The following is a 26,936-nucleotide window of genomic DNA, read 5'->3' on the forward strand; positions in this document are numbered from 1 at the left end:
TAATACTAAATGGGATTTTTTTTTTAACAGAAGAAATAGATGTTTAACGGTTTGGTCTTTTTTCCTGAGAAACTGTAAAACTTCTCTAAGGAAACTAGTAACAAAATCCCCATGTGGGGCCTTGTTTGAATGCTGGAAATCATATGGCTAGCAATATTGTTTCACTAGACAGAAAATTAGAATGAAGAAAGATGAGAAAGCATGAGTTTAGATGCCAGTAAACGCCTTCTTCCTGAAGCTGGCACGAATGGATCCCCAGAGTAGAAGGACAGTATAGACATCTAGAGGTATCTGAGTCTGGAGTTTGTGTAACAGATTTCATCTGCAACTTACCTATGGAAGCAGTCAAAAGACCTTCAAGCTTCAGGCAAATCCTGCTAAAGGAGATGTTAACTTATATGCTTAGAAGTTTTTTCTTGTGCAGATACTTTGAAAAATTCATTGCGATATTTTGGATAAGATTAAATACCAGCAATATTATAAATCCCAGCATTTTGGGAGGCCAAGGTGGGAGGATCATTTGAGGCCAGGAGTTGAAGACCAGCCTGGGCAACATAGTGAGACCCTGATCTCTCCAAACTAACAAAATTTAGCCAGGTGCAGTGGCATGTGTCTGTAGTCCCAGATACGCAAGAGGCTAAGATGGGAGGATTGCTTGAGCCAAGGAGTTCAAAGCTGCAGTGAGCTATGGTCTCACCACTGCACTCTAGTCTGGGCAACAATGAGACGCTGTCTCAAAAAAAAGTAAGAAATACTAGCAATATGCATAGGTTTAGATTTTGTCATATAGCTTTTTTCTTGCTTTCTTTCTTTCGTTTTTAAGAGATGAGGTCTCGCTATGTTGCCCAGGCTGGACTTGAGTTCCTGGGCTCAAGTGATTCTCCCACCTCAGCCTCCCAAGTAGCTGGGAATACAGATGCATGCCACCATGCCTGGCTGGCATTTTATTTCGTATAAATCCAAGAGAATTAAAGATCTAATTAAAATTAATCTCTATTTGGTTTTCCAAATGTTGTCTACCAAAATTCATATATCTGAGAACATTTCACTGGAGCAATTATGATAGTTTATGAATGAGGCAATCCCACAAACATTTTCAAGAACTTATTATATATGAGCCACTGTACCTGTTGCTGTGAATGCAGAGATGAATGAAGAAATGGACTTCGCCTTCCGAGGTTCACCTTATCACAGAGACAAGTTTAAGATTTGCTTTGTTCTTTTACTTAAATAATTCTTAGAACAACAAATAAAAACAAGGGAGGGTGCATTAGAGAATCTCAGCCACATCAACAATTATGAGGCTTCTTTGTTGGGTGGACCATTTTGCAATCCTGGATCAAGGTAGTTTATGCCATTGTGGGCAACGATGCAAAGGTTTAGCGATTGGGGATTAAGGAACAGCTCAGAGCAATTAGATCACATGAAGTCCCAAATGTCTGCTTTATCAGGGTGAATCCAAGTTTGGCTCCTGTTGCTAAAAGAAAAAAATAAAAAGCAATGCACATATTACTTACAAGCAAACCTGGGGGCATGCCATCTATTATCAGCAATAAACAGATTTGATTCTTTTCTAAATGAGATTGTCAGGGCCCAGGGGATTTGTCAGCGTCCCGATAATCCTCAAATCATCTGCCTGCCCTACCATGGTCATAAGAAATTGTTGGTAATAAGGCTGGTTAACAATCTTCTTGTCTGGTGCATTAAAGATAATTCCACATAACCCAGAGGGTCTTAGCCAAACAGCCTTCTTTATATGGTTCAACATTACGCGTCTTACCAAGCATCACCTCTGCAGAGGCTGCCAGCTCTCTGTCAACTGTGCAAGTCACTGGGCCCCCCACCCTGTGCAAAACACAGGCTGGACTTGGGGAGTTTTTAATCCAGTGTGGGATATGGAACCAACATAAAAACTCAGTGGCCACAAAGATGCCCCAGGGGCTCTGGGTCAGGTCCAGCTAATGACCCACACCTTCACTGAGCAAAGACTGAAGTTTTCTTTTTCTTCCTTTCACTTTATTGTTCATGGTGTTCAAAATCTGGCATTTTGAATAAGTAATATATGAAGTGGCTAAAAAAGTTTTAAATGACAAAAAAGGATATTTAAAAAATCTTCTTCCCATCCCTTTCTTCTCTTGCTTTATTCCTACTTCCCTGACAGGTAATCCCTGTCATCAGCACTATTGTATCCTTTCAGAGTTTAAAAAAAAAAAAAGATAAATACAGGCAAATATGAGTGAGCCTTGAAGACATTATGCTAAGTAAAGTAAACCAGTTACAAAAGAACAAATATAGCCCAGTTACATTAGGTTCCTAGAGCAGTCAAATTCACAGAGACAGAAAGTGGAATGGGGGTTTCCAGGGCCTGCGGGGAGTGGGATGGGGAGTTCATGTTTAATGGGGACAGAGTTTCAGTCTGAGATGATGAAAAAGTTCTTGAGATGGATGATGATGATGTCGGTGGCCCAACAATGTGAATGTACTTAATGTCATAGAACTATACATCTAAAATGCTTACAATGGTCAATTTTGTTATGTATGTTTACCGTTATAAAAAAATAAAACAGGCTGGGAGCGGTGGCTCACGCCTGTAATCCCAGCACTTTGGGAGGCTGAGGTGGGTGGATCACCTGAGCTCAGGAGTTCAAGACCAGCCTGGCCAATTTGGTGAAACCCCGTCACTACTAAAATTACAAAAAAATTAGCTGGGCGTGGTGGTGGCCGCCTGTAATCCCAGCTACTCGGGAGACTGAGGCAGGATAATTGTTTGAACCCAGGAGGCGGAGGTTGCAGTGAGCCAAGATCATGCCATTGCACTCTAGCCTGGGCAACAAGAGCGTAACTCCATCTCAAAAAAACAAAACAAAACAAAACAAAAAACCATGAAATACATTTTTATTGTATCCTCCTTCCTTCACACAGAAGATGGAACATAATATGATTGTTCCGTGCCTTGTCTTTTTTACCTAATGATATATCTTGGCGATCTTTCTGTATTACTATGTGCAGTGAACCCTTTTTATTCTTTTTATAGTTGAATACTTTTCTGTTGTGTTGTGTACCGTATTTGTAAACATTGATCCCCTATTGATGGACATTTTTATTTTTTCAATATTTTGCTATAAAAAATGATGCCGTGAATCACCTTGTACATAAATTCTTTCCTATGTTATGATTATTTCTTTTTCAAAGGGCTACCTAGTAGTGGCTGATGTGGTTTGGCCCTTTGTCCCTACCCAAATCTCATCCCAAACTGTAATCCCCACGTGTCAAGGGAGGAACCTGGTGGGAAACCTCGTGGTTTCCCCCATGTTATTCTCGTGATAGTGAGGGAGTTCTCACGAGATCTAATGGTTTTAAAAGTGGCACTTTCCCTTGTGTTCTCTCTCTCTCCTGCCACCTTGTGAAGAAGATGCCTGCTTCCCCTTCACCTTCTGCCATGGTTGTAAGTTTCCTGAGGCCTTCCCAGCCATGTAGAACTGTCAGTCAATTAAACCTCTTTTGTTTATAAACTACCCAGTCTCAGGTAGCATCTTTGTAGCAGTGTGAAAACGGACTAACACAGTGGCCAAGACAGGGGCCTCTCCCACTGACTCGTAAGGCAAAAACCAAGATTCTGGTTTTTTTTGTTTTTGTTTTTGTTTTAGATGGAGTCTCACTCTGTCGCCCAGGCTGGAGTGCAGTGGTGCAATCTTGGCTCACTGCAAGCTCTGCCTACCAGGTTCACGTTATTCTCCTGCCTCAGCCTCCCGAGTAGCTGGGACTACAGGCGCCCGCCACCACGTCTGGCTAATTTTTTTGTATTTTTAGTAGAGACGGGGTTTCACTCTGTTAGCCAGGATGGTCTCGATCTCCTGACCTCATGATCCTCCCACCTCAGCCTCCCAAAGTGCTGGGATTACAGGCATGAGCCACTATGCCTGACCAAAACCCAAGATTCTTAATAGATTTTTATAATGGCCCCACGTCCTCTTTTATTTCCCCAATACTTGAATTGCAAAGAGACAGCCAAGGGCCAATTTCTAAAGCTGGATAGAACTCCTCTGCCCACCCCCCATGCTTACATGTCTCCTTTTAATTTATTTTTCTTTTATTTATTTTTTCAGTTCATCCTTCACATGTCAACAGGTATCCTTTTCATCAATTGCCTCTTGACACTCACAACTAACAAACCAAGATGGCTTGCTTTTGCTTTTCTACTCTCGTCATTTAAAACTGCATATGGATTGCAATCATTTATTTCTTCTGAGAGGTAGCCCAAAGTGTTGCTGCATAATTTCTTGCATTTTTATCACTAGTCAACTTCTCAGTCATTCATTCAACATATACTTATTTAGTACCTACTGAGTCTCAGGCATCTATTCAGGCACTGAAATACAGTAGCAAACAAAGTAAAGTCAGTTCCCACCCTCATGGAAGTAACAGATCATAAGCAAATGAAATGACAGTAATGGCAAGCAATAAACATAAATATGTATTAATAGTATAATTTCAGGCAGTGATAATGCTCTGCATCCCTACTTAAACAATTCAGAGCAGAGAGCCCTTTTATTTTTATAAAGTTTTTTAAAAAATTATTTAACATTTATTTTAGGTTTAGGGGTACATGTGCAGGTTTGTTATATAGGTAAACTTGTGTCATGGGAGTTTTCTGAACAGGTTATTTCCTCACCCAGGTATTAGGCCTAGTACACGTTATTTTTCCTGATCCTCTCCCTCCTGCCACCCTCCACCCTCAAGTAGGCCCCAGCATCTGCTGTTCCCCTCTGTGTGCCCATGAGTTCTCATCATTTAGTGCCCACTTATAAGTGAGAAAATGCGGTGTTTGGTTTTCTGTTTCTGTGTTAGTTTGTTAAGGATAATGGCCTTCAGCTCCATCCATCTTCCTGCAAAGGACATGATCTCAGTCATTTTTTTTTTTTTAGACGGAGTTTCGCTCTTGTTGCCCAAACTGGAGTGCAATGGCGTGATCTCGGCTCACTGCAACCTCTGCCTCCTGGGTTCAAGTGACTCTCCTGCCTCAGCCTCCTAAGTAGCTGAGATTACAGGCACCCGCCACCACACCCAGCTAATGTTTTGTATTTTTAGTAGAGATGGGGTTTCACCATGTTAGCCATGCTGGTCTTGAACTCCTGACCTCAGGTGATCCACCTGCCTCGGCCTCCCAAAGTGCTGGGATTACAGGCATGAGCCACCATGCCCAGCCAATCTCATTATCTTCTATGGCTACATAATATTCCATGGTGTATATGTACCACATTTTTGCTATCCAGTCTACCATTGATGGGCATTTAGGCTGATTCCATATCTTTGGTATTGTGAATAGTGCTGCAATGAACATACACATGCATGTGTCTTTATGATAGAATGATTTATATTCCTTTGGGTATATACCCAGTAATGGGATTGCTGGGTTGAATGGTATTTCTGTTTTTAGGTCTTTGAGGAATCACCACACTGTCATCTACAATGGCTGAACTAATTTACATTCCCACCAATAGCATATAAGCATTCCATTTTCTCCTCAACCTCACCAGCATCTGCTGTTTTTGACTTTTTAATGATAGCCTTTTTTTTTTTTTTTTGGTGGGGATAGGGTCTTGCTCTGTCACCCAGTCTGGAATGCAGTGGCACTATCTCAGCTCACTGAAACCTCTGCCTCCCAGGTTCAAGTGATTCTCCTGCCTCAGCCTCCCTAGTAGGTGGGATTACAGGTGCTCACCACCACACCCAGCTAATTTTTGTATTTTTAGTAGAGACGGGGTTTCACCACGTTGGCCAGGCTGGTCTGGAACTCCTGACTTCAAGTGATCCACCCATCTCGGCCTTCCAAAGTGCTAGGATTACAGGCATGAGCCACCGCGCCCAGCCAATAATAGCCATTCTGACTAGTATGAGATGATATCTCATTGTGGTTTTGTTTTGCATTTCTCTAATAATCAGTGATGCTGAGCTTTTTTTCATATGGTTGTTGGCTGCATGAATGTCTTTTGAAAAGTGTCTGTTCATGTCCTAAGCCCACTTTTTAATGGGGTTGTTAGTTTGTTTCTTGTAGATTTGTTTAATTTTCTTATAGATACTGGATATTAGGCCTTTGTCAATGCATAGTTTGCAAAATTTTTCTCCCATCTATAGGTTGTCCTTTCACTCCGTTAATAGTTTCCCTTGCTATGCAGAAGCTCTTTAGTTTAATTAAATCCCATTTGTCAATTTTTGCTTTTGTTGCAAATGCTTTTGGTGTCTTCCCCATGAAATCTTTGCCTGTTCCTATGTCCAGAATGGTATTGCGTAGGTTGTCTTCCAGGGTTTTTATGGTTTGGGGTTTTACATTTAAGTCTTTAATGGAGAACCCTTTTAAAACAGCATACAGATAAGGGATTCCAAGTCCATCTTGAAAAATTACTGAAGCTACTGTCTTTAGAAACTCTTGTACTCAAGAAAGCTCTGGTCAAAGCAAAAGCCTGTTGGTTCTACCAGACATCAACAGAGGGATTTGTGGTCATTTAAATCATAGAGTGTCACTTTGGACTTACAAATGGCCTTAAAAGCAGTCTTTGAATTTTTTTTAAATTTTTATAATTTAAAATAGAGACAGGGTTCTGCCATGTTGCCCAGGCTGGTCTTGAACTCCTGGGCTCAAGCAATCTGCCCACCTCGGCATCCCAAAATGCTGGGATTATAGGTGTGAGCCACTGCACCCAGCCCTTTTCTATAATTTCTATCTCTTTATCAATATGAAGAACCTACGATTACATTGGGCCTACCCAGATAATCCAGGATAATGTCCCCATCTCAAGATCCTTAACTTCATAACATCCTTAACTTCATGACGCAGAGTAACATAGTCACAGGTGCCGGGGATTAGGATGTGGACATTTTTATGGGGCCATCACTCAGTCGACCACACCAGGGAATTAAGAATCAGCAGTGTGGGACAAGAGAACAACCAACCTACAAAACAACAGGGATTAATAATCAGCACTGGGGAACAAGATAATGACCAACCTACAAAGTAAGTGAAAAGCAACAGGGGAAGTTATGAAAAAAATAAATTTGGCAGAAGATGCCTCAAGATTCAACACTTTGAATTCAACAGATATGTTTTAGGTCTCCACCCAGGTGCCAGGCACCAGGCACAGTTTCAGGTGCTCGGGATATATTGGTGAACAAAACAGGCCAAACCCCTTCCCCCAAAAGTCTTATGTTCAACAGAGACATCATATATTAAGTACATTCTTCAGTAATTAGAAGCAGATGTGCTATGAAAAAATGAAGGGGGGATCAGGGAATGGGGATCAGGGAAGGGGGCTCCGGAGAGGCCTGAAGCGTGTGGGGGTAACCATCCGCCTGCTGACATTAGGGGGAGCTACAGCACAGCTTTGGGGGCTGAGATCAGAAAAGGATTTAGAGGTCATGTATATGAACTCCCTTAGTTTAGAGAGAGGAAGCTACGGCCCGGAAGGCCACAAGGTGGTCGTTAGTTATTCTGTATTTGGCCTAAATTTGAGAGACAGTCCCCTCCTCTCTCCCCAAGGAGGCCAGACAGAGTCATCAGTGTTATCAAAGGCGACTCTGCCAGGAGGTGAGGCTGGGAGGGTTTTGTATCATAGCAGCAGGAGGGATGGATGATCTCAGAGTGGAGTTCTATCTGTGCCACTGTTTAAAAATCATTCCACAGAACTTCTAATATGCCTCTTTCTAAGTGCAGTATTCTGATGTCTTAAATCAGTGACACCGGTCCCACTCAGCCTTTGAGACTCAACTTTGGTGAAAATAACCTGTATCGGCCAGACACCAAAAGGAAGGAAAAACCGGCTTCTGATAAAGAGCCTTTGGTGTTGATCACGAAAGAAGAATTCAGCTTCATTTTCCTAATCGTTCCTGCTCCTTGAAACGTGAAAGTTATTTACATGTTATGATAAACCATAGGTTGATTAGATATTTTCGTCCAGTATCTCCTTGGTGTGCCTATTTGCCAAAAAATGAGCCAATACAAAATCCAAATATTTCTAAGTGAGAGTTATTTACTCACTCACCATCACAATTACAATTACAAGATCATCACAGTTACAAAACCACGTGGTGAAAATGTAACTCATTTCTTCAGGGGACCGGTATTTGTTGAGAGCCACATTGGCTAAGATTTGAGCATTCAGGTCATTTACAGTCTGGCCCCAGACAATCCCTCGGATCCCTGCTGTGTTCTCTCTGCCTGCTCTACTCTTCCTCTGAAGACTTTCACTGATTCAGTCTCCACCACATTTCAGGTCTCCATTCCCTGCTCTGCAAAGCCCCCCAGTTCCCTGCCCCCTCACGCAGAAGGAATTGCAGCAGTTCTGTACCCGTTCCCCCATACACCCATGGACCACAGAACCCATCCTTTCCCCATTTATCCGTCTACTTCTCTCACTACACAGATGACTTCTTTGAAAAGTTGTTTGGCCAGGCTCAGTGGCTCGTGCCTGTAATTCCAACTCTTCAGGAGGCTCAAGGCAGGAGGATCGCTAGAACCTCAAGGCTGCAGTGAGCTATGATCATGCCACTGTACTCCAGCCTCAGTGACAGAGTGAAACTCCATCTCTACAAAACTTTTTTAAAAACTTTCTTTTATTGTGGTTGACAGGGTTCAAGACACACTTCCTCAAAATATGGCACCTTGGCATTTGAAAAACAGCAGAAGCAGGAAGGTCTGTCTGACTTTTCTCCTCCCCTTCTTCCTTGAAGCAGATTATAAGACTTTTTTTTTTTTTTTTTTTTTAAAGACGGAGTCTTGCTCCGTTACCCAAGCTGGAGTGCAGTGGCACGATCTCAGCTCACTGCAACCTCTGCCTCCTGGGTTCAAGCGATTCTCCTGGCTCAGCCTCCTGAGTAGCTGGAATTACAGGGGTGCACTACCATGCCCAGCTAATTTTTTTGTATTTTTAGTAGAGAGGGGGTTTTGCCATGTTGGCCAGGCTGGTCTTGAACTCCTGATCTCAGGTGATCCACTTGCCTCGGCCTCCCAAAGTGCTGGGATTACAGGCGTGAGCCACAGCGCCTGGCGGTTATAAGATTCTCATTGGATAAGTGCCTTCCCCGCCTTTAGGTGAAGGAAAGGAACACCCTTGTCTGTGAAGACACAGAGAAGAGCCTGAGCAAACAGGCCTTGCTAAGTTCCTTCCAGGTTATCACCATTAGATCAGATTCTTTTGCCCTCCAATCATATTTCTCCACAACTGTCCACTCTTCATTAAACCTAAGCATGAAAAAATATACGTTTCACTTTTTCTTTGGGTCTTCCTTTTCATATGAAGGCTTCCATGTCATGTAAAATTCACATTAAATACATTCGTATGTTTTTCTTTTGTTAGTTTGTATTTTATTTCAGGGGCCTCGCCCATAAACCTAGAATGGGTAGGCTAGAAACATCAAACCTCTAGAGCATAAGGGGCTGCTCCCTATCCCTAGTATGCTCCCGCCCCATCCTTCTTTCCCATGTCTCTGCCAAGTGCCTATTCTTCCAGACTGCTCAACTCAACAGGATAGTGAATCTCGGAATTATTCACCCTACTAAATTTCATATGCTCTCTTGATGCACTTGGAAAATTGATACTTTTCTTTTCAGTTTTGGAAGCTGTGAGTAAAGATAGACTTGACTGTCCTAAAGGAGGAACTCTGAATCCCTTTCTCTATTATATTTGGAAATATGTTGATATGGTTTGGCTGTGTCCCCATCCAAAATCTCATCTTGAATTGAAATCCTCCAAATCCCCACGTGTCAAGGGAGAGACCAGGTGGAGGTCACTGAGTCACGGGGGCAGTTTCCCCCATGCTGTTCTCGAGATCGGAGATTGGAGAACTCACTCGTGAGTTTGGTAGTTCCTTCTGTGTTCATTCTCCTTCCTGCCATCTTGAGAAGAAGGTGCCTTGTTTCCCCTTCACGTTCCGTCATGATTATAAGTTTCCTGTGGCTTCCCCAGCTATGCTGAACTGTGAGTCAATTAAAGCTCTTTCCTTTATAAATTACCCAGCTTCGGTCAGTTCTTTATAGCAATGTGAAAACGGACTAATACACGTGTCCTCCAGACACCCACATACTATGTAGATAAAGTTAATAAAACTTTATTTTAACATGTACTAGCATTAGGAAACAGTTAGTTGTTAACCTACCTACTGATTAGCAAAATGCATGAGTCAGTAATCTTGTGAAGAAACTCAACAACCCCCTACCATTGCTGGTGAGAATGGGCACAGCTACAATTTCTTCTAGGAGAATCTGAAATTGAACCAATTAGCAAATAAGACATAGTAGGACCTACTTTAGATCCAAGGCATTTTAAATAAGGATAACTAGTTATACAGCAGTTTTCAACTGTAATGAGGCTGGTAGAACATTTTCATCATATATACATTTTGTTTTGTTTTGTTTTGTTTGAGATGGAGTCTTGCTCTGTCACCCAGGCTGGAGTGCAGTGGCATGATCTCAGCTCACTGCAACCTCCACCTCCCAGGTTCAAGCAATTCTCCTGTCTCAGCCTCCCGAGTAGCTGGGACTACAGGCGCACACCACCATACCCGGCTAATTTTTGTATTTTTAATAGAGACAGGGCTTTACCATGTTGGCCAGGCTGGTCTCGAACTCCTGACCTCAGGTGATCCGCCCGCCTCGGCCTCCAAATGTGCTGGGATTATAGGCGTGAGCCACCATCTTATATGTATTGAATACCTGCCGGGTATAAATCACTGAGCCAGGTGCTGGGGGCACAGCAGCGACAAGACATATAAGGTCCCTGCTCTCAAAGAAGTTATGCTCTCATCCTACAGAAGGTGTTTCTAAGTCAAGACACCAAGAGCCTTTCTCCCAAGGTGGCTACCCAGCACATCACTAGCCCTGCCCCCTAAACAACAATACTGCATCCCAAAGCCCACCTGATAGATGGTTAGTCATCCCATCCCACCCCACCCTCTGAGAACTGCTGGGGAAAGGCACAATAAAGAAGTATTAGGTCGGTGCAAAAGTAATTGTGGGTTTTGCCATTATTTTCAATTCTGTAAGTTTTTTGAGAGCAGGGACCTTGTATGTCTTGTCACTGCTGTGCTCCCAGCACCTGGCTCAGTGAATCCTACCTGGCAGGTATTCAATACATATAAGATGAAATTGTTCTTGCCATTACTTTGAATGGCAAAAACCGCAATTACTTTGGCATGAACCTAATAAATTCACAAACTCATATATCGACATTGTGGTGGAGATGACCAGGCACTGTGACAGTGAAATAGATGTGGGGGCGCCGTTGGGGATCTTTAGGTTATTAGCACAGGCCCCTGTGAGGAGGTGGCACGTAGGCTGAAGGTCCTGGAGGATGAGCAGGTGTAGCCATGAGCATTCTGGGGATGAGGAACGGCATGTGTGAAGGCCCCACGGTGGGAGAGAGCCTCGTGGACTTAGAAAACACAGACAGAAGATGAGTGGGGCTGGAGATAAATTGGAGAGGCTGGCAGGGGCCAGACCGTGTGAGGCTTTAAGGGTCATGGGGAAGAACTCGGATTTTATTCTAAAGCCACTAAAGGGTTTTAAGAAGGGAAGCGATGCAATGACAATAATAATGAGGAATAGTTAACACTACTGAGAACTTGCTTAGATTTTAAGTGTGCAGTCTCTCTCTATGTATATGTAAACTCAGTCTATCATTATAACAAGCCTATGAGGTGATGAGGTATTTATACCCCCATTTTATAGATGAGGAAACAGAGAGCTTAAGAAACTTGACCAAAGTCACACAGCAAGTCAACTCTGGAACTAGGAGCTGCGTCATGCTTTTAAAAGGTCAGCCAGGTTTTATGGCAAACGGGTGATTGTAGGAGGGAAGAATGGGAGCAAGGAGGCTTTGAAATAATCCAGGTAAAGGATGATGATGTCCAGAATCAGACTTGAGTGAGGTGAGTGCAGCCCCAGCCTGGGATGCAAAATTTAAGGAGAAGTCTCAGTAATTACTGCACTCCAGCCTGGGCGACAGAGCGAGACTCCATCTCAGAAAAAAAAAAAAAAAAAAAGATAAGTAATATTGGCCTGGCATGGTGGCTCATGCCTGTAAGCCCAGCACTTTGGGAGGCTGACGCGGATGGATCACTTGAGGCCACGAGTTCGAGACCAGCCTAGCCAACATGGTGAAACCCTATCTCTACTAAAAATACAAAACAATTAGTTGGAAGTGGTGGCACTTGCCTGTAGTCCCAGCTACTCAGGAGGCTGAGGGGTGAGAATCACTCAAGCCTAGGAGGTGGAGGTTACAGTGTGTGAGCTGAGATCGTGCCACTGCACTACAGCCTGGGCGACAGAGCAAGACTGTCTCAAAAAAAAAAAAAAAGTAATATTCTAAACTAAAAACCAAGATAATGGAAAAATCCCATTATGAACAAAATATCAAAATTTTAATTAAAGACAGGATTGGTGTTACTGAAATTGCCTTTGCCTCAGGCTTCAGTATGGCTGGACCGGGCACTGGCTGGGACTAAGGTGGTGACAAGAAAGTGACCAAATTGGAGTAGACAGGCGAGGCCTGAGGTGGAGCAGGCGTGGGAGCTGGGGGAGGGCACCAAGGGGTTGAGCAGTCTCCCCTGTTGGTATCGAATATAACAATAATTCTTAGGCTCAGCAGAAGTTTAGCATCCATGTTCCCAGTCACCTGGACTTTTCCAAATCTTGGAACCCCCTCTGGCTGAAAAGGCTTTTGTTTGTTTAAACGGCCACTTTTTGCATCCAAGAGCACAAGTCAGCTTCCACTGGAAGGTTCTGAGAAACGGTTTCAGGTTTAAGTCTAGAGCATGAATGGAACGGAGTCACAGCTGAAAAAGAAACATGCCGAGTGCCAAGGAAAAGACATGGTTAAGGGGTAACATGGGCCCGGGTAGGTGAAGGTCGGCAGGTGGAGGCCGGCTGGATCAGGGAAGGTGAAAGAAGAGGCAGGGGCAGGGCCCAGCCTGTTTTAACGCCTCGGCGTTCTCACCGCTGCAGAACGGCTGCAGGGGGCAGAGTAAAGAGCTGCTGTCAGTTTCCCTGCCCAGAGAGTGCCAACAGCTGCTCTGACCTATTGCAGGCATGTGTGTTCCAGGATGCAGCCTTCCTGCACTTTGACCACTCTAGATTAATTGCTAACCAAGATATGCACATGATGGGGCTCACAAAGTATTAGGCGGTATTTTAACAACAAAAGCTGCGAAGAAATCCCTAGAAATGTTGGCTCTTCTGGCTGGGAAAACGCAGTCTGTCAACAGTTGCCTCAAAAACTCAGAAGCTCAGAGAGTTGGATTCGGTCACCAGAGAGGCCCCTCAAAGAGGCCCCAACCATTCAGATCCTCTGCTCTGTCCCCCATGACAGCGGGGACGAAGGTCCTAAGCCCTGGCCGGGAGGGCAGTTGACCTCGGGACTCGCCGCGGGGCGGAGCGGGTGCTGGGAGGAAGGAGGGCGTGGCTGGCGGGGTGTGGCTGGCGGGACGGGGCGGGGCGAAGACAGAGCGAGGCGGGGCCTGGGACGGGGGGGGGGTCGGTGTCGCCGTGGGGGCGTGGAATGTGGGGTGGGCGTGGCTAAAGGCAAAGGGCGGGGCGCGCGCGTCGGGAAGATGGCGCTACGTCTGCTGCGGAGGGCGGCGCGCGGAGCTGCGGCGGCGGCGCTGCTGAGGCTGTGAGTGCAGGTCCCCGTTCCCCGCCTTCCCGGCCCGGCTCGCCGCGGGTCGGCTCCTGTTGCAGCCCCGCGGGCCGGGCGCGGCCTCCCCAAGCCCTCACGGGAACCCAGCCGGACGGAAGCACCATGCGCCTCCCACGCGCTGGCTCGACCTCGTCCAAGGTCGCTGCCGCCCGCGCCTCCCTTTGGGAGGGCCCTCGTTGCACCCGGAAAATGGGTACACACCTTAGGTCGAATTACCTGGACTCAGCCCCAGGAAACAAAACTGCCTGCCTCCCCCAAATGGCAAACGTGAACGCGCCAGTCTTTGAGAGGCGGCTTGCCTGGTGAAGAACACCTGCGGTTCGTTTAACACAGCGGTTCCCAAACGGTTTGGTCTCAGGACCCGTTTACACGTCTAAAAATAATTTGAGGACCCCCCAAAGCTTTTGCTTATATCTATTGATTTTTGTGCATGAGGAATTAAACCAGAAATTTAAAAAATATTCACTTAATAACAAACCCATTAACTTTTAATACAAATAACACTTTAATGCATAACTTCTCAAAAAAAAAGTGAGAAGATTGGCTCATGGTTTTTATATTTTTGAAAATTTCTTTGGTTTAATAAAGGACAGCTGGAGTCTCATATCAGCTGTTTTGAAGGAAATATTTGAAAGAAATTCTGGGCTCATGCAGATGCAGATATTAGTTGGGAAAGGGAGGACCAAGCAGACCCTCTCAACGGGTCTCAGGGACCCCCTCAGGTGTCTTTGGACCACACTTTGAGAACCGCTGGTCTAGCACTTGCCCATCGCCTAGGTACGTGCACATACATGGTCTCATTTGGTTCCCTTGACCACCATGTGAAGAAGTTGGGTGTCATGTTTATAAAGATGAAAAAACAGGGTCAGAAAGGTTAAGGATTCTCAAAGCCCTATGACCAGTAATGAGAGAGTTTGGTTCAAACACTAAGTGTATGGCTCCTGGTCTGGAACTTCTTTATTTATTTATTTTTATTTTTTGAGACAGAGTCTCGGTCTGTCACCTAGGCTGTAGTACAGTGGTGTAATCTCGGCTTACTGCAACCTCCACCTCCTGGGTTCAAGCGATTCTCATGCCTCAGCCTCCTGAGTGGCTGGCATTACAGGTGTGCACCACCACCCCTGGCTAATTTTTGTATTTTTAGTAGAGACAGAGTTTCGCCATGTTGGCCAGGCTGTTCTCGAACTCCTGACCTCAAGGGGGTCCACCCGGATCAGCCTCCCAAAGTGCTGGGATTACAGGCGTGAGCCACCATGGCCGGCCTGGTGGTCTGGAACTTCTTTTTTTTTTTTTTTTTTTTTTTTTCCGAGATGGAGTTTCGCTTTTGTCGCCCAGGCTGGAGTGCAATGGCGCCATCTCAGCTGACTGCAACCTCCGCCTCCCGGATTCAAGTGATTCTCCTGCCGCAGCCTCCGGAGTAGTTGGGATTACAGGGCGTCCGCCACCATGCCCGGCTAATTTTTGTATTTTTAATAGAGACGAGGTTTCACCATGTTGGCCAGGCTGGTCTGGAGCTCCTGACCTCGGGTGATCCACCTGCCTCGGCCTCCCAAAGTGTTGGGATTAAAGGCGTGAGCCACCGTGCCCGGCCTGGGTCTGAACTTCTTACGTCTTCTTGCACTGTGACTCTTCAGTCACCCATGTCCTATGGGAGGACCCACCTAGTCTTATGCATCCCACTTTCCCATTTCCTCCGCTGCCCCTGGCACAGGGGAGTCACCCCTCGCCCTAGAGGAGCAGCTCAGGCAGTGTATCCAGGCTGGTCCAGAAGGGTCCTTTTCTGGCGCCTTTTGAGGGGGCCAGCGTCTGTGACCTGTTCAGTAGCGGGTCCAGTGAGCGCACACAGTCCCCACGCCAGTACGCTGGGGGTTAACTCAGTGCTCCTCACCCGCCTTAGCACACTGGTCTGTTCTCGACATGTCTACCCGCTGAATATAGGATTCTTGATTGGCATTTTTTTTCCTTTGAGCATTTTAAAGCGTATTATCGCACTGTCTTTTTGCCTCCATTATTCTAATGAGAATTCAGACGTTAATGTTATTAGGGTTCTATGTAAGTGATGAGTCTTTTTTTTTTTTTTTTTTTTTTTTTTTTTGCTTGATTTTCTCTTTGTCTTGGTCTTTCGGTGGTTTTATTATGATGTGTGTAGATCTGTTTGAGTTTATCCTCTTGGAAGTTTATTGAGTTTCTTGGATGTGTATACATCAAATTTGGGAAGTTTTTGGCTATTGTTCTCTCAAAAAAGTCTACTCTCTTATCTCTCTCTTCTCTTTCGGAGGCTCCCATTGCGTATATGTTGGTGTAGTTGATGGAACCCCACAGGTCTTTGAGACTGTTCCATTTTCTTTCTGTTCCTCAGGCTGGACAATGTCAATTGACCTGTCTTTGTTTTTTTTTTTTTTTTTTTTTTTTTTGAGACAGAGTCTTGCTCTGTCACCAGGCTGGAGTTCAGTGGCGCAATTTCTGCCCACTGCAACCTCTGACTCCCGGGTTCAAGCGATTCTCCTGCTCCAGCTTCCCGAGTAGTTGGGATTACAGGCACGCGCCACCACGTCCAGCTAATTTTTGTATTTTTAGTAGAGACGGGGTTTCACCATGTTGGCCAGGATGGTCTCGATCTTCTGACCTCGTGATCCACCTGCCTTGGCCTCCCAAAGTGCTGGGATTACAGGTGTGAGCCACCGTGCCCAGCCGACCTGTTTTTAGGTTTGCTGATTGCTCCGTCTTCCAACTCAAATCATTTTCATTTTAATCCAGAACTTCTTTCTTTTTGGAGAATGAGTCTCACTCTGTCACCCAGGCTGGAGTGCAGTGGTGCAATCTGGGCTCACTACAACCTCTGCCTCCTGGGCTCAAGCTGTCCTCCCACCTCAGCCTCCCAAATAGCTGGGACTACAGGTGTGCACCACTGCACCTGGCTAATTGTTTCTATTCTTTTGTAGAAATCAGGTTTCGCCATGTTGCTCAGGCTGGTCTCGAACTTGGCTCAAGCAATCTGCCTGCCTCTGTCGCTCATAGTATTGGGATTACAGGCATGAGCCATCATGCCCGGCCCTTTTCTATACTTTCTATCTCTTCATTGATATTCTCTATGTACTGAAACATCGTTCTCATACTTTCCTTTAGTTCTTTTTTTCTTTCTTTCTCTTAGAGACGGAGTCTCCAGGCTGGAGTGCAGTGGTGAGATCGTAGCTCACTGCAGCCTGCAGCTCCTGGGCTCAAGTGATCCTCCTGCCTCAGCCTCCCCAGTAGCTGGGACTACAGGCACACACCACTATGCCCAGCTAATTTTTAAATTTTTTGAAGAGACAGAGTCTTGCAGTGTTGCCAAGGGTGGTCTTGAACTGCTGGGTTCAAATGATTTTCTTGCCTTGGCCTCCAAAGCAGTGGAATTCTAGGCATGAACGACTGCACCTGGACTCCTTCAGTTCTTTATGCATAGTTTCCTTTCGTTTTTTGAACATACTTTAAATAGATGATTTAATTAGTAAGTCCAACATCTGGACTTCCTCAGGGACAGTTTGTACTGACTACTTTTTTCCTGTGTGTATAGGTCATACTTTCTTTTCGTTGCATGTCTTGTATATTTTTTTGAAAACTGGACATTTTAAGTAATATAATGGGGCAACTCTGGAAATCAGATTTCTCCCTTTTGCCAGGGTTTATTGTTGTTGTTGTTTGCTTAGTGACTTTAATAAACTAATTCTGCATTGTATTCTTTGTCATGTGCAACCAGCGAGGTCTCTGCTTGGTTAGCTTAGTAGTCTAACAATTAGACAAAGGTTTCCTTAAATTCCTGGAACCAGTAAGTCTCCTAGTCTTTGCTGAGGGACTCTGTGTGTGTCAGGACATGTCTTCAACATTCAGCCACAGTTTGTCCTGCTTCCACAGAGACTGAAGGTTAGCTAGACATGAGCACTTAAGGTCTTTCCTTAGCCGGTATACAGCCCTGCACATGTGCGTGGCCTCCTAGAGTCTCAGGAACATGTCACAACTTTTCAGAGCTCTCTATGGGTATCTTGTTCTCCATTTTTGCCTTTTAAGTGTTTTGGTTAGCCTGTTGTTTACCCTGTTATCTTCCATCTCAAGTAGCTGTGATGGTAAATAAGTACTTCTGATTGTTTGGACAAATGCCCTCCGGGAAAATACTGTTCCCACTGTGCAAGCTCTGAGTCAGGTCAATTAAAGACAGTTTTACAAGTAGGGTCTTCCAAGGAACCACAAGACAGGTCAAATAGTGACATTTTCCAGAAATGGGGCTTTCCCCCTCTAGTGGCTGCCATGCTGCTGGTTTTCACTGTGATGGGGGCTATTGATTTTCAAGTCTACCACAGAGCTGGGGAAGAGGGATAGGGTAAACTAAACCCCCACGACAATTGCTGTTCTTACTGAGATTCATACATTTTTCTTGAATAAATGATCCCTATATTGCTGCAAGTCTTTAATTTCTAGAATTCTGAAAAAGTTTATTCTGACAATTTTTGCCAATATTCTTGTTGATTTTATGGAGGATAGGATTTTCAAAGGTCCTTTTTCTGTAGTTTTTGCTGAAGTCAGCCTGCATAGAGTTTTGATCGAGTGGATTTGAATTTATAAATTTTTTTTTGCATCTGTTGTGTTGATCATAAGGCTTTTCTTCTTCAGTGTGTTAATACGGTAAATTACAGTGATTGACTTTTTAAAAGTTAAGCTGACCATTGCATTCCTGGAATAAACCCCACTGATTGTGATGTATTGTTTGGATTGCATGTGCTAAAATTTTGTTAAAATTATTTGTATCTGTGTTCATAAGGAATAATCGCCTATAGTTTTCTGATATTGCCTTGGTCTGGGTTTGGTATTAGGATGGTGATGGTCACATAGGATGTGTTGGAGAGTTCCCGCTTCTATTTCATGAAACAATTTGTGTAAATTTGGTAAGATTTTGCCTGTAAATGTTTGCACCTGCAGTTTTCTTTGTGGAAAAAGTGTTAAACTACAAATTTAGTTTCTTTAATAGACATATTGCCATTCAGATTATCTAGTTCTTCTTGAGTAAGCTTTGGTAGTTTGTATCTTTGAAGGACTATGTCCATTTCATCTAAGTTGTCACATTCACGTGCCTGGAGTTGTTCATGCTGACTCCTTATCCTTTTTCTTACAGCTCTACAAAGGTATATACCACACAATTCACCCTTTGTAAGTGTGTGATTAAATAATTTCTAGTAAGTTTATAGGCCCATCACTACAGTCCAATGTTAGGCCCCCCTCCAAATTTCTATCATCCCGCAAATTCTCTTGAGCCCATTTGCAGTTAATCCTTACCCCTGCCTCTAGTCTGTCATCTCCTTACTGTTTGTGTCATCCATAGTGATGTGTCCTTCTTCATCCTTGATATTTGTAATTCTTTTTTCTCTGTTTTTTATTTTATCACCTGGCTTGAGTTATTTTGCTCTTTTTAAAGAACCATCTTTTTGTTTTATCGATTTTTCTCTTTTTTTTGTTTTCTATTTCATTGATTTCTGTCTCATCTTTATTATTTCCTACCTTCACCTTACTTTGGGTTTAATTTACCCTTTACCTTTTTAAGGTGGAAATTTAGATAATTAATTTTAGACCTTTCTACTTTTTTTTTTTTTTTTTTTGAGACAAGGTCTTGCTCTGTCACCCAGGCTGGAGTGCACTGATGCAATCTTGGCTCACTGCAACCTCCACATTCTAAGCTCAAACAGTCCTCCTGCCTCAGCCTCCCAAGTAGCTGAGACTACAGGCATTAGCCACCATGTCTGGCTAATTTTTGTATTTTTTGGAGAGACGGGGTTTCGCCATGTTGCCCAGGCTTGTCTCAAACTCCTGGATTCAAGCAGTCTACCCACCTTGGCCTCCGAAAGTGCTGGGATTATGGATGTGAGCCGCCACACCCATCCGGGGTCTACTTTCTAAATATAAGCACTCAGTAATTACTTTACAGCCATGCTTGGTGGCTCATGTCTATAATCCCAGCACTTTGAAAGGCTGAGGTGGGAGGATCACTTGTGGCCAGGAGTTCAAGTCCAGATTGGGTAACATAGTGAGATGCTGTCACTACAAAAAAAATTTTAAAAGTTAGCTGGATGTGGTGGCTCATGCCTGTGATCCTAGCCACTTGGGATGCTGAGGTGGGAGGATTCCTTGAGCCTGGGGATTTGGGGTTTCAGTGAGCTGTGATGATACCACTGCACTCCAGCCTGGGTGACAGAGCAAAGCTCTATTAAAAATAGTGATGATAATAATAATAATAATAATAATAATAATAATAATAATAACAAAATTCCCTCTAAGGATTGTTTTAATTCCCTCTAGCAAATTTTGCAAGATTTCTGATACCTGTAATCTCTTTTCATTTCTTATGTTGATACTCTGTTTCTGTTTTCTAAAGTATTCATAGTAAGACTCCAAAAGAAAAAGGGCTCCCTGGCTGTATGTGTTCAGTGGTAGCAGCCAAGGAATGTGCCAGGAAGGTACTTCACATTTTGCAGTGCCGTGGTGGAGAGGAATCTGGTAAAGAAAAAACCAGATGAAGACAGTTTAGAGAGGCGACAACTACAAGCTAAGTACCTGAGATTCTGGGTCAACAGGAAGGGGACAGTGTGTGAGGAAGCAGCAGGGCCATGGAAGGTGGCTGAGGGGCCTGGATGGGGTTACCTGTCAGGGTCCCAATAGGCCTTTTGTAGGGTTGGCTTCATCTTTGAAGCCTCCTGAGGTTACCGTGACAACCACTACTGTCCCTCTGTACTGCTGTGAGGCCACTAAGGGAAAAAGGGAGGGAAGGGACCCAAAGGGAGGACAGAGGTGGGAGAAGAGGGAGCGATGGGGAGAGAAAGGCAGAGAACAATGGAAGCAGTGAGCGAGAAAGGGGAGAAACCTCACTGAAAAGGAGGCAGGGTAAACATGACTGAGATGGAAAAATGATCACATTAAAAAGAACTCACTCAGAGTAAGGATGAATGTGTGTTCTTTGCTACTTGAACTGGTATTAAAAGGCCAATGTGAAGTGTTAGATATTTTAAAATGTTTATTGGTATCATTAGAAGTTGACTTCAGTTGCCCAAATGCATGGTGAGAAAGGGGATGTGTAAACAAAAATGATATTTTGGATTGTGAGGCAGAAAGTCATTTTAAATGGCCCTGGGAGGCAGAGGGCCCAATCCTCTCAGTCGCCTGGGACTGTCCTGGGTTTAGCATGGAATGCCTTATGTTCCCAGAAACCCCTTAGGTCCCAGCAAACCAGGATGGCCATTCACCATAGAGGTGGAGAAGTAAAGGGCTGTGGATGAAGACGGGTACTTATTAGGAACAGGGAGGAGGATGGAGTTGGAGGGGATGAGTGCAGGGCAGGATACAGAGCCCAGAAGGAAAGGAATTGACAGAAGCTGGGAGAAAGAATAAAAAGACCAGTGGTCCAAGATGGTAGACCACAGGTTCAAGAACTGGAGCAAGAGTCTTCTGGAATGGCCTCCATTCTAGAACCGAGAGAGAGTATTCAGAATGCTTTAATGGAGTAAGAAGGGCCACTGCTTAGAGTGGGGCTGAAGAGAAAAGAAAGAAGGAGACCCTGCGGAAGCGGCAATACCAGGAAGGCAGTTGTATGCACATCATGCAGACCAGGAGTAGCCTAGGGGTAGGGGACATGCCTGGGCTGGACAGTGGAATTTGTGGGAAATCAGATTTCCCTGAGCAAAAACCAGTGGGCAGCAGCCAAACTGGTGAGCAAGAACTGGCTGTGGTGGCTGGGCCCGAATTGGGAGCTACACCTGCCCGGGCAGGTGTAGCTGCGAGGGAGGTCTCTGCCAACAACTCAGCTGTGCCGTGCCTGCTGAACGGCCTCACCTTGGCCTCTGGCTCTGTTGCAGCTGTGTGGGGCTCGTGCTCCTACATACCGTTATCCTGTGGTAGAGTTTTACCGTGGACCAGAGCCATCTAGAGGACATTGAGTTACCCACATACTTTCTGTGGGAGAGGCCAAGGAGTCAGGGGGGGAGGCCGGGACCTGAAGATCAACTCTTTACTGCAGAGATCCCTCCCTCCCTCTCTCTGTCCCATGGATCCAGAGGGAAGTTGAGGACAGTTTCATGCCACATGCTTGACCCGACTCAACTGAGTAACTGTGGCCACTGAGAAGACTCTGTCCTTGCAAATAACTCTCCTTAGTGCCCATATTCTGCAGAATGTTTGAGTGGCACGAGTACTTCATTCGTCTAGAAATATTTCATGGTAGTCAGTTGCTAATAACAGGATATCTGCAGGTAGTGTGTTCTCAGGAGGCACACCTGAAGCCTCAAAGGTGAGGACATAGACATGGCTGTGGGTGAGCCTGTGCCAAGACATGACCCATATCCATGGGGAGTGCTCTCAGGGCAGCTGACACTGCTCAGCCTCAGCAGTCTCCAGTGATAGCTTCGGAACAGCCACGGTCTGACTGATATACTTTCTGAAAACAGCCTTTGGTCACACAGTTTCCTAACTAAATGTGGTGGTGGCCACTAGAAGTTGCCATTTTATGCGGGACTCCCTGTGAGGAAGCCCATAGTGCTGGTAGCTGAAATTTAGGAATGCAGGTTTCTAAGAAGGCTCGGAAAAGCAAGCTGGGCTCCTTGGGGAGGAGCTATTAGTACGTTTAATTAAATTTTTTAACATATAAAAAGTTGTTAATTATAAAAACAACATTTTTTTCTACCCTGAGTGCAGCTGGAGCTGTGTTCTGCCGTTACACAATTCCTCATTAATTCCACACATTGCTTACGATCCTGTGAAGTTTAGAATTTTATTAGGCAATAAATAAGAAATCAAGGAAATAATATTTGTGGTTTCATATCGGTCACTTGGGTATGAATTTAAATCCACTGTAATTCAAACAGGTTTAGTTTATTTCATGTTGCTACTTGAATGTGTTATAGCGTATCAATTAAATAACTCACTTGAATGATGCAGACTTGAGATTCATTCCCTCCTTCTTTCCTTCCTTCCTTTCTCACCCCATCCTCCCTACCATAAACCAGGTTTAGAATAGCTGTTAATTTAGCTGCTTTGATTTTTTGTTGTTGTTTATTTTGAAACGGAGTCTCACTCTGTCGCTCAGGCTGGAGTGCAGTGGCACAATCTCAGCTCACTGCAACCTCTGCCTCCTGGGTTCAAGCGATCCTCCTGCCTCAGCCTCCTGAGTAGCTGGAATTACAGGTGCACACCACCACGCACAGCTAATTTTTTTATTTTTATTTTTTATTTTTAGTAGAGATGGGGTTTCACCATGTTGGTCAGGCTGGTCTTGAACTCCTGGCCTCGTGATCTGCCTGCCTTGGTCTCCTGAAGTGCTGGGATTATAGGTGTGAGCCACCACGCCTGGCTTTTTTTTTTTTTTTTTTTTTTTTAAGACTGGTGAAGCTATGTTGCCCAGACTGGACTGCAGTGGCTATTCGCAGGTGTTATCATAGCTTACTGCAGCCTTGACATCCTGGGCACCAGTAGCGCTTCTTCCTCAGTCTCTAGTAGCTGGGACTGCAGGCATGTGCTACCACACCCAGCTGATTTTATGTTTTGTTTACATTTAACGATGTTAATCTAGGAGCAGTGATGATGTTCACTGTTGTTCCACATGACTCTAGCACATATATATTTGTATGTGTATAACCACAGTTGTTCATTTAGTCTGTTTCCAGGTTTTCATTTAGTCTGTTCCAGGTTCATTTAGTCTGTTTCCAGACCTAAAAAGGCCTGTTGGCTACCGCGACAGCCTTGGCTGTCACACTGGGCCCGCCCATGGGTGTTTCTGTAAGTGGCCATGAACCTCTTCTGAACTACACCACATGTTAACATCCTTCTCTTAGTTAGGTCTTTGAGATTGGCAGAGGTGCTCTATTTAATAATAAAGGAATGGGCTGGGCATTGGTGGCTCACACCTGTAATTCCAGCACTTTGAGAGGCTGAAGTGGACCGATCACTTGAGGTCAGAAGTTCAAGACCAGCCTGGCCAGCATGGTGAAACCCCGTCTCTACTAAAAATACAAAAATTAGCCTGGTGTGGTTGCGCATGCCTGTAGTCCCAGCTACTCAGGAGACTGAGGCAGGAGAATTGCTTGAACCCAGGAGGTGGAGGTTGCAGTGAGCCAAGATCATGCCACTGCACTCCAGCCTGGGTGACAGAGCGCGACTCCGTCTCAATAATAATAATAATAGTAATAATAATAATATAATAAAGGAATGAAAGTTTCCTTAGAAAGTAAGGTTTCTATTTTAATAGAATACTTGAGTGAGCAAGTCTGTCTTAACTGTTTCTCCTCACTGTGTCTAAATGAGAAGGAAGAATGACCCTGGTGTCTGTATTTGCAGGACACTTTTCAGTATTAATATTCAGAACCCCAAATATTGAAAAGTGTAAAAGGCAGTACTTGCTACTTCATTGTCCCGTTGCTAGCCCCAGTAAAATGAGGGTCTTAGTTTAGCGGAAGACTGTGTTTACTGTTTAACTCACAGTTCACGCTAAAAATTGGCACTTTTTTTTTTCCTAATAAGGGCCTCTCTATGGACCTTTTTAAAGTTTATATGGTCATTAAAAACATCATTGCACACATATACTTTGTACCACTTTGGAAGTAGTGCAGGCTTGTTTGAAAGCATACACTTGACTTGTCTTCTTACTTAGTCTCACAGTATTCTTTGTGAGAAGGTTGATATGCCCACATTATTCTGTGGCCAAAAACAAAAGTTTAGGAAATGAAAACAGCAAACAGAAAACCCCATGCCAAGTGCTGTTTTCGTAGTGAGGCACTGGAGGGCGCTCCGCTCTAGCAATGGGAGATGCACGCAGTCTCTGCAGTCTGCAGGCTGCCCTCACGAACGCCTTTCAGAAGATGTAAGAGTTTTTTCTGTTCATTTTAAGGCAAATGAAAGACACATGGATGGTAGAGGAAATATTTCTATACTGACCTATAAACGGTCCCTTTAAAAGTTTATGAGAAACTGAAGAAGTAGCTCTGTGCTCCAGCCCTCCTTATGACCTCCTCTCTCCCTAGCCTGTTGCAGCCTCACCGGCCTCCTCTTCTGGGCTGTGTCGTCAGCCTGAAGCCCTCTGTCCCTTTGTGCCTCAGCTCAAATGTCACAAATCAGAGAGGTCTTCCTTGACCACCCTGTACAACATAGCCTCCACCCCGCTAAGCAGCCTCTGCACTACCCTGTCCCCTTACTGCTGTTTTCATTTTTTCCTATTGCCCCATTTCCACCAGACATATCACATGCTTATTTGTTTATTGTCCGCCTGTATCCTACCCCAGCCCCCAGATATTCATGAGAGCAGGGACTTGGTTTATTCCATTGCTACTATATATCCAGAACCTAAAACAATCCTTGGCAGTGCCTGATATAAATTTGCAGAAGGAAAAAAGAACAGATTTAGGAATGAAATATTTTGAGTGTTTCTAAAGATTTAGTGGATTTTTTTTCTTTATTTTGGTAAATTATACATAACAAAATTATCATTTTAACTTTTTTTTTTTTGAGGTGGAGTCTAGCTCTGCCCCCAGGCTGGAGTGCAGTGGTGCGATCTCACTCACTGCAACCTCTGCCTCCTGGGTTCAAGCAACTCTCCTGCCTCTGCCTCCGAGTAGCTGGGATTACAGGTGCCCGCCACCACGCCTGGCTAATTTTTTGTATTTTTAGTAGAGACGGGGTTTCACCATGTTGGCCAGGCTGGTCTCGAACTCCTGACCTCAGGTGATCTACCCGCCTCGGCCTCCCAAAGTGCTGGGATTACAGGCGTGAGCCACCATGGCCGGCCCATTTTAACCATCTTTAAGTGTACAGTTTAGTGGCATTAAGTACATTCACATTGTTGTACAACTGTCACCACCATCCATCTTCAGAACTTTTTTATCTTCCCACACTGAAACCCTGTGCCCATTAAACACTAACTCCCTGTTCCCTTCCCCCCACCCAGCCCCTGGTAACCACCATTCTCATTATTTTCACTGTGAATTTGACTACTCTAGGTACTTCACATACATAGACTCACATATTTGTCCTTTTGTGTTTGGCTTATTTCACTCAGCATAATATCTTCCAAGGTGCATCCATGTTACAGCAGGTATCTGATTTTCATTCATTTTTAAGGCTGAATAATCTATTGTGTGCCTATTCCATATTTTATTTATCCATCCATCTGTTGATGGACATTTGAGTATCACTGCCACCTTTTGGCTATTGTTAGTGCATGTTCTATGTGGAGCACAGAAATGTGATGTTTAAGTTTAAGCCTAAAGTGGATTTCTTTGAATTATACTAGCCAGTCACAGATCACTCCTGGGTAGTACTATGGTTTGAATGTGGTATCCCCTCCAAAATTCATGTTGAAACTTAATTCCCATTGTGGTGGTATTAAGAAGTGGGGCCTTGTAGGAAGTGGTTAAGTCATGAGGGCTGTGCCTCATGAATGGGTTAGTATCATTGGAAAGAGGCTTCAGAGAGAGTTTTCCAGTCTTGCCCTTCCACCCTGCGCCATGTGAGGACACAGCAATAAGGCGCCATATTGGAAGCAGAGAGCAGCCCTCTGTAGACACCAAGGCTGGCACCTTGATCTTAGATTCCCCAGCCTCCAGAACTGTGGGAAGTAAGTTTCTGTTGTTTATAAATTAGCCCAGTGTGTAATACTTTTTAAAATAGCAGCATAAACAGACTAAGACAGGTGGTTTCTACTTTTAGGAAAATATTTTTAGTTCATATTAAGATAGAAACTTATTCTAGCTCCTAAAAATCAGAATTGTTTTAATATCCTCAGGTGCTCTTTAATTTTTTCTTACAATTGTCAAAAACAAGTTTAAAATCAAGTTACTAACTCTGCTATAGGCAGGAAGCTCCTGGATAGATACTCTGGGGTTCAAGTCCAATGCTGACCCGCAGTTGGCCCTTGACCTTGTTCAAGGCCCTTATCTAGATTGTGCCTTATTTTTCTCACCCATCAAAAGGAGGATGGACAAGTTTCTTCCTGCCAGTTGACATTCCAGAGTCTAGAAAGGAATTATTGCCCTCAAGTAAGACGACCTTGGGGAATTCAGAAATAAAAAGTATATAGCTTTTTGAGCTCTAAGTTATTTTGGTCCATTTGAGCTCAATTTGACCAGAGATTGAAGATAAAAGCTCTGCCTCCCCCAAACTTATTGGTACAGCCTGCACTCAATTGGTTTTACCGCCTTCTCCTGACATTAAGGGAGATGTTTTTGGTTGTGTGGTGTTGACCCTTTAGGT

At 44.3% G+C, this 26,936-nt stretch overlaps 1 protein-coding gene and 1 long non-coding RNA gene across 11 annotated transcripts in view, besides 6 other annotated features; one reads left to right on the top strand and one right to left on the bottom strand.

Annotated features, from left to right (window-relative positions):
* Positions 1-1,411: 1,411 nt before the first annotated feature.
* LOC105370332 (uncharacterized) lies at positions 1,412-12,753 on the bottom strand. Its single transcript, XR_931674.3, has 3 exons — positions 12,666-12,753; positions 10,150-10,255; positions 1,412-1,477 (listed from the first exon to the last, which is right to left on the bottom strand). It is a non-coding gene; the product is annotated as an uncharacterized LOC105370332 (long non-coding RNA).
* Positions 12,457-13,436: an enhancer, noted in NCBI's record as "H3K27ac-H3K4me1 hESC enhancer chr13:100257807-100258786 (GRCh37/hg19 assembly coordinates)". NCBI's record gives its function as "activates a minimal SCP1, AML or CMV promoter by ChIP-STARR-seq in naive H9 embryonic stem cells {active_cell/tissue: H9 hESC(naive)}" and the evidence as "EXISTENCE:reporter gene assay evidence [ECO:0000049][PMID:30033119]".
* Positions 12,457-13,934: a biological region, named in NCBI's record as "Sharpr-MPRA regulatory region 5963".
* Positions 13,359-13,653: an enhancer, noted in NCBI's record as "tiled region #5963; HepG2 Activating DNase unmatched - State 1:Tss, and K562 Activating non-DNase unmatched - State 1:Tss". NCBI's record gives its function as "activates a minimal TATA promoter and a strong SV40 promoter by Sharpr-MPRA in HepG2 and K562 cells {active_cell/tissue: HepG2 | K562}" and the evidence as "EXISTENCE:reporter gene assay evidence [ECO:0000049][PMID:27701403]".
* Positions 13,375-13,934: a silencer, noted in NCBI's record as "silent region_5473". NCBI's record gives its function as "represses an Ori minimal core promoter by ATAC-STARR-seq in GM12878 lymphoblastoid cells {active_cell/tissue: GM12878}" and the evidence as "EXISTENCE:reporter gene assay evidence [ECO:0000049][PMID:35858748]".
* The window catches only part of CLYBL (citramalyl-CoA lyase), a 302,755-nt gene continuing 289,412 nt past the window's right edge, over positions 13,594-26,936 (top strand). For all 10 annotated transcript variants that reach the window (NR_104592.2, NM_001393361.1, NM_001393360.1 and 7 more), the window contains exon 1: positions 13,594-13,661. Coding sequence is in view for 9 of the 10 variants with exons in the window: in NM_001393361.1 (NP_001380290.1) it covers positions 13,600-13,661 (62 nt within the window). In the remaining variant the exon portion in view is untranslated. The remainder of the gene's footprint in view (positions 13,662-26,936) is intronic.
* Positions 21,497-21,996: an enhancer, noted in NCBI's record as "H3K4me1 hESC enhancer chr13:100266847-100267346 (GRCh37/hg19 assembly coordinates)". NCBI's record gives its function as "activates a minimal SCP1, AML or CMV promoter by ChIP-STARR-seq in primed H9 embryonic stem cells {active_cell/tissue: H9 hESC(primed)}" and the evidence as "EXISTENCE:reporter gene assay evidence [ECO:0000049][PMID:30033119]".
* Positions 21,571-21,650: an enhancer, noted in NCBI's record as "active region_7955". NCBI's record gives its function as "activates an Ori minimal core promoter by ATAC-STARR-seq in GM12878 lymphoblastoid cells {active_cell/tissue: GM12878}" and the evidence as "EXISTENCE:reporter gene assay evidence [ECO:0000049][PMID:35858748]".

This window comes from Homo sapiens, chromosome 13 (genome assembly GCF_000001405.40).
Source record: "Homo sapiens chromosome 13, GRCh38.p14 Primary Assembly".
NCBI classification, from domain to species: Eukaryota; Metazoa; Chordata; class Mammalia; order Primates; family Hominidae; genus Homo; species Homo sapiens.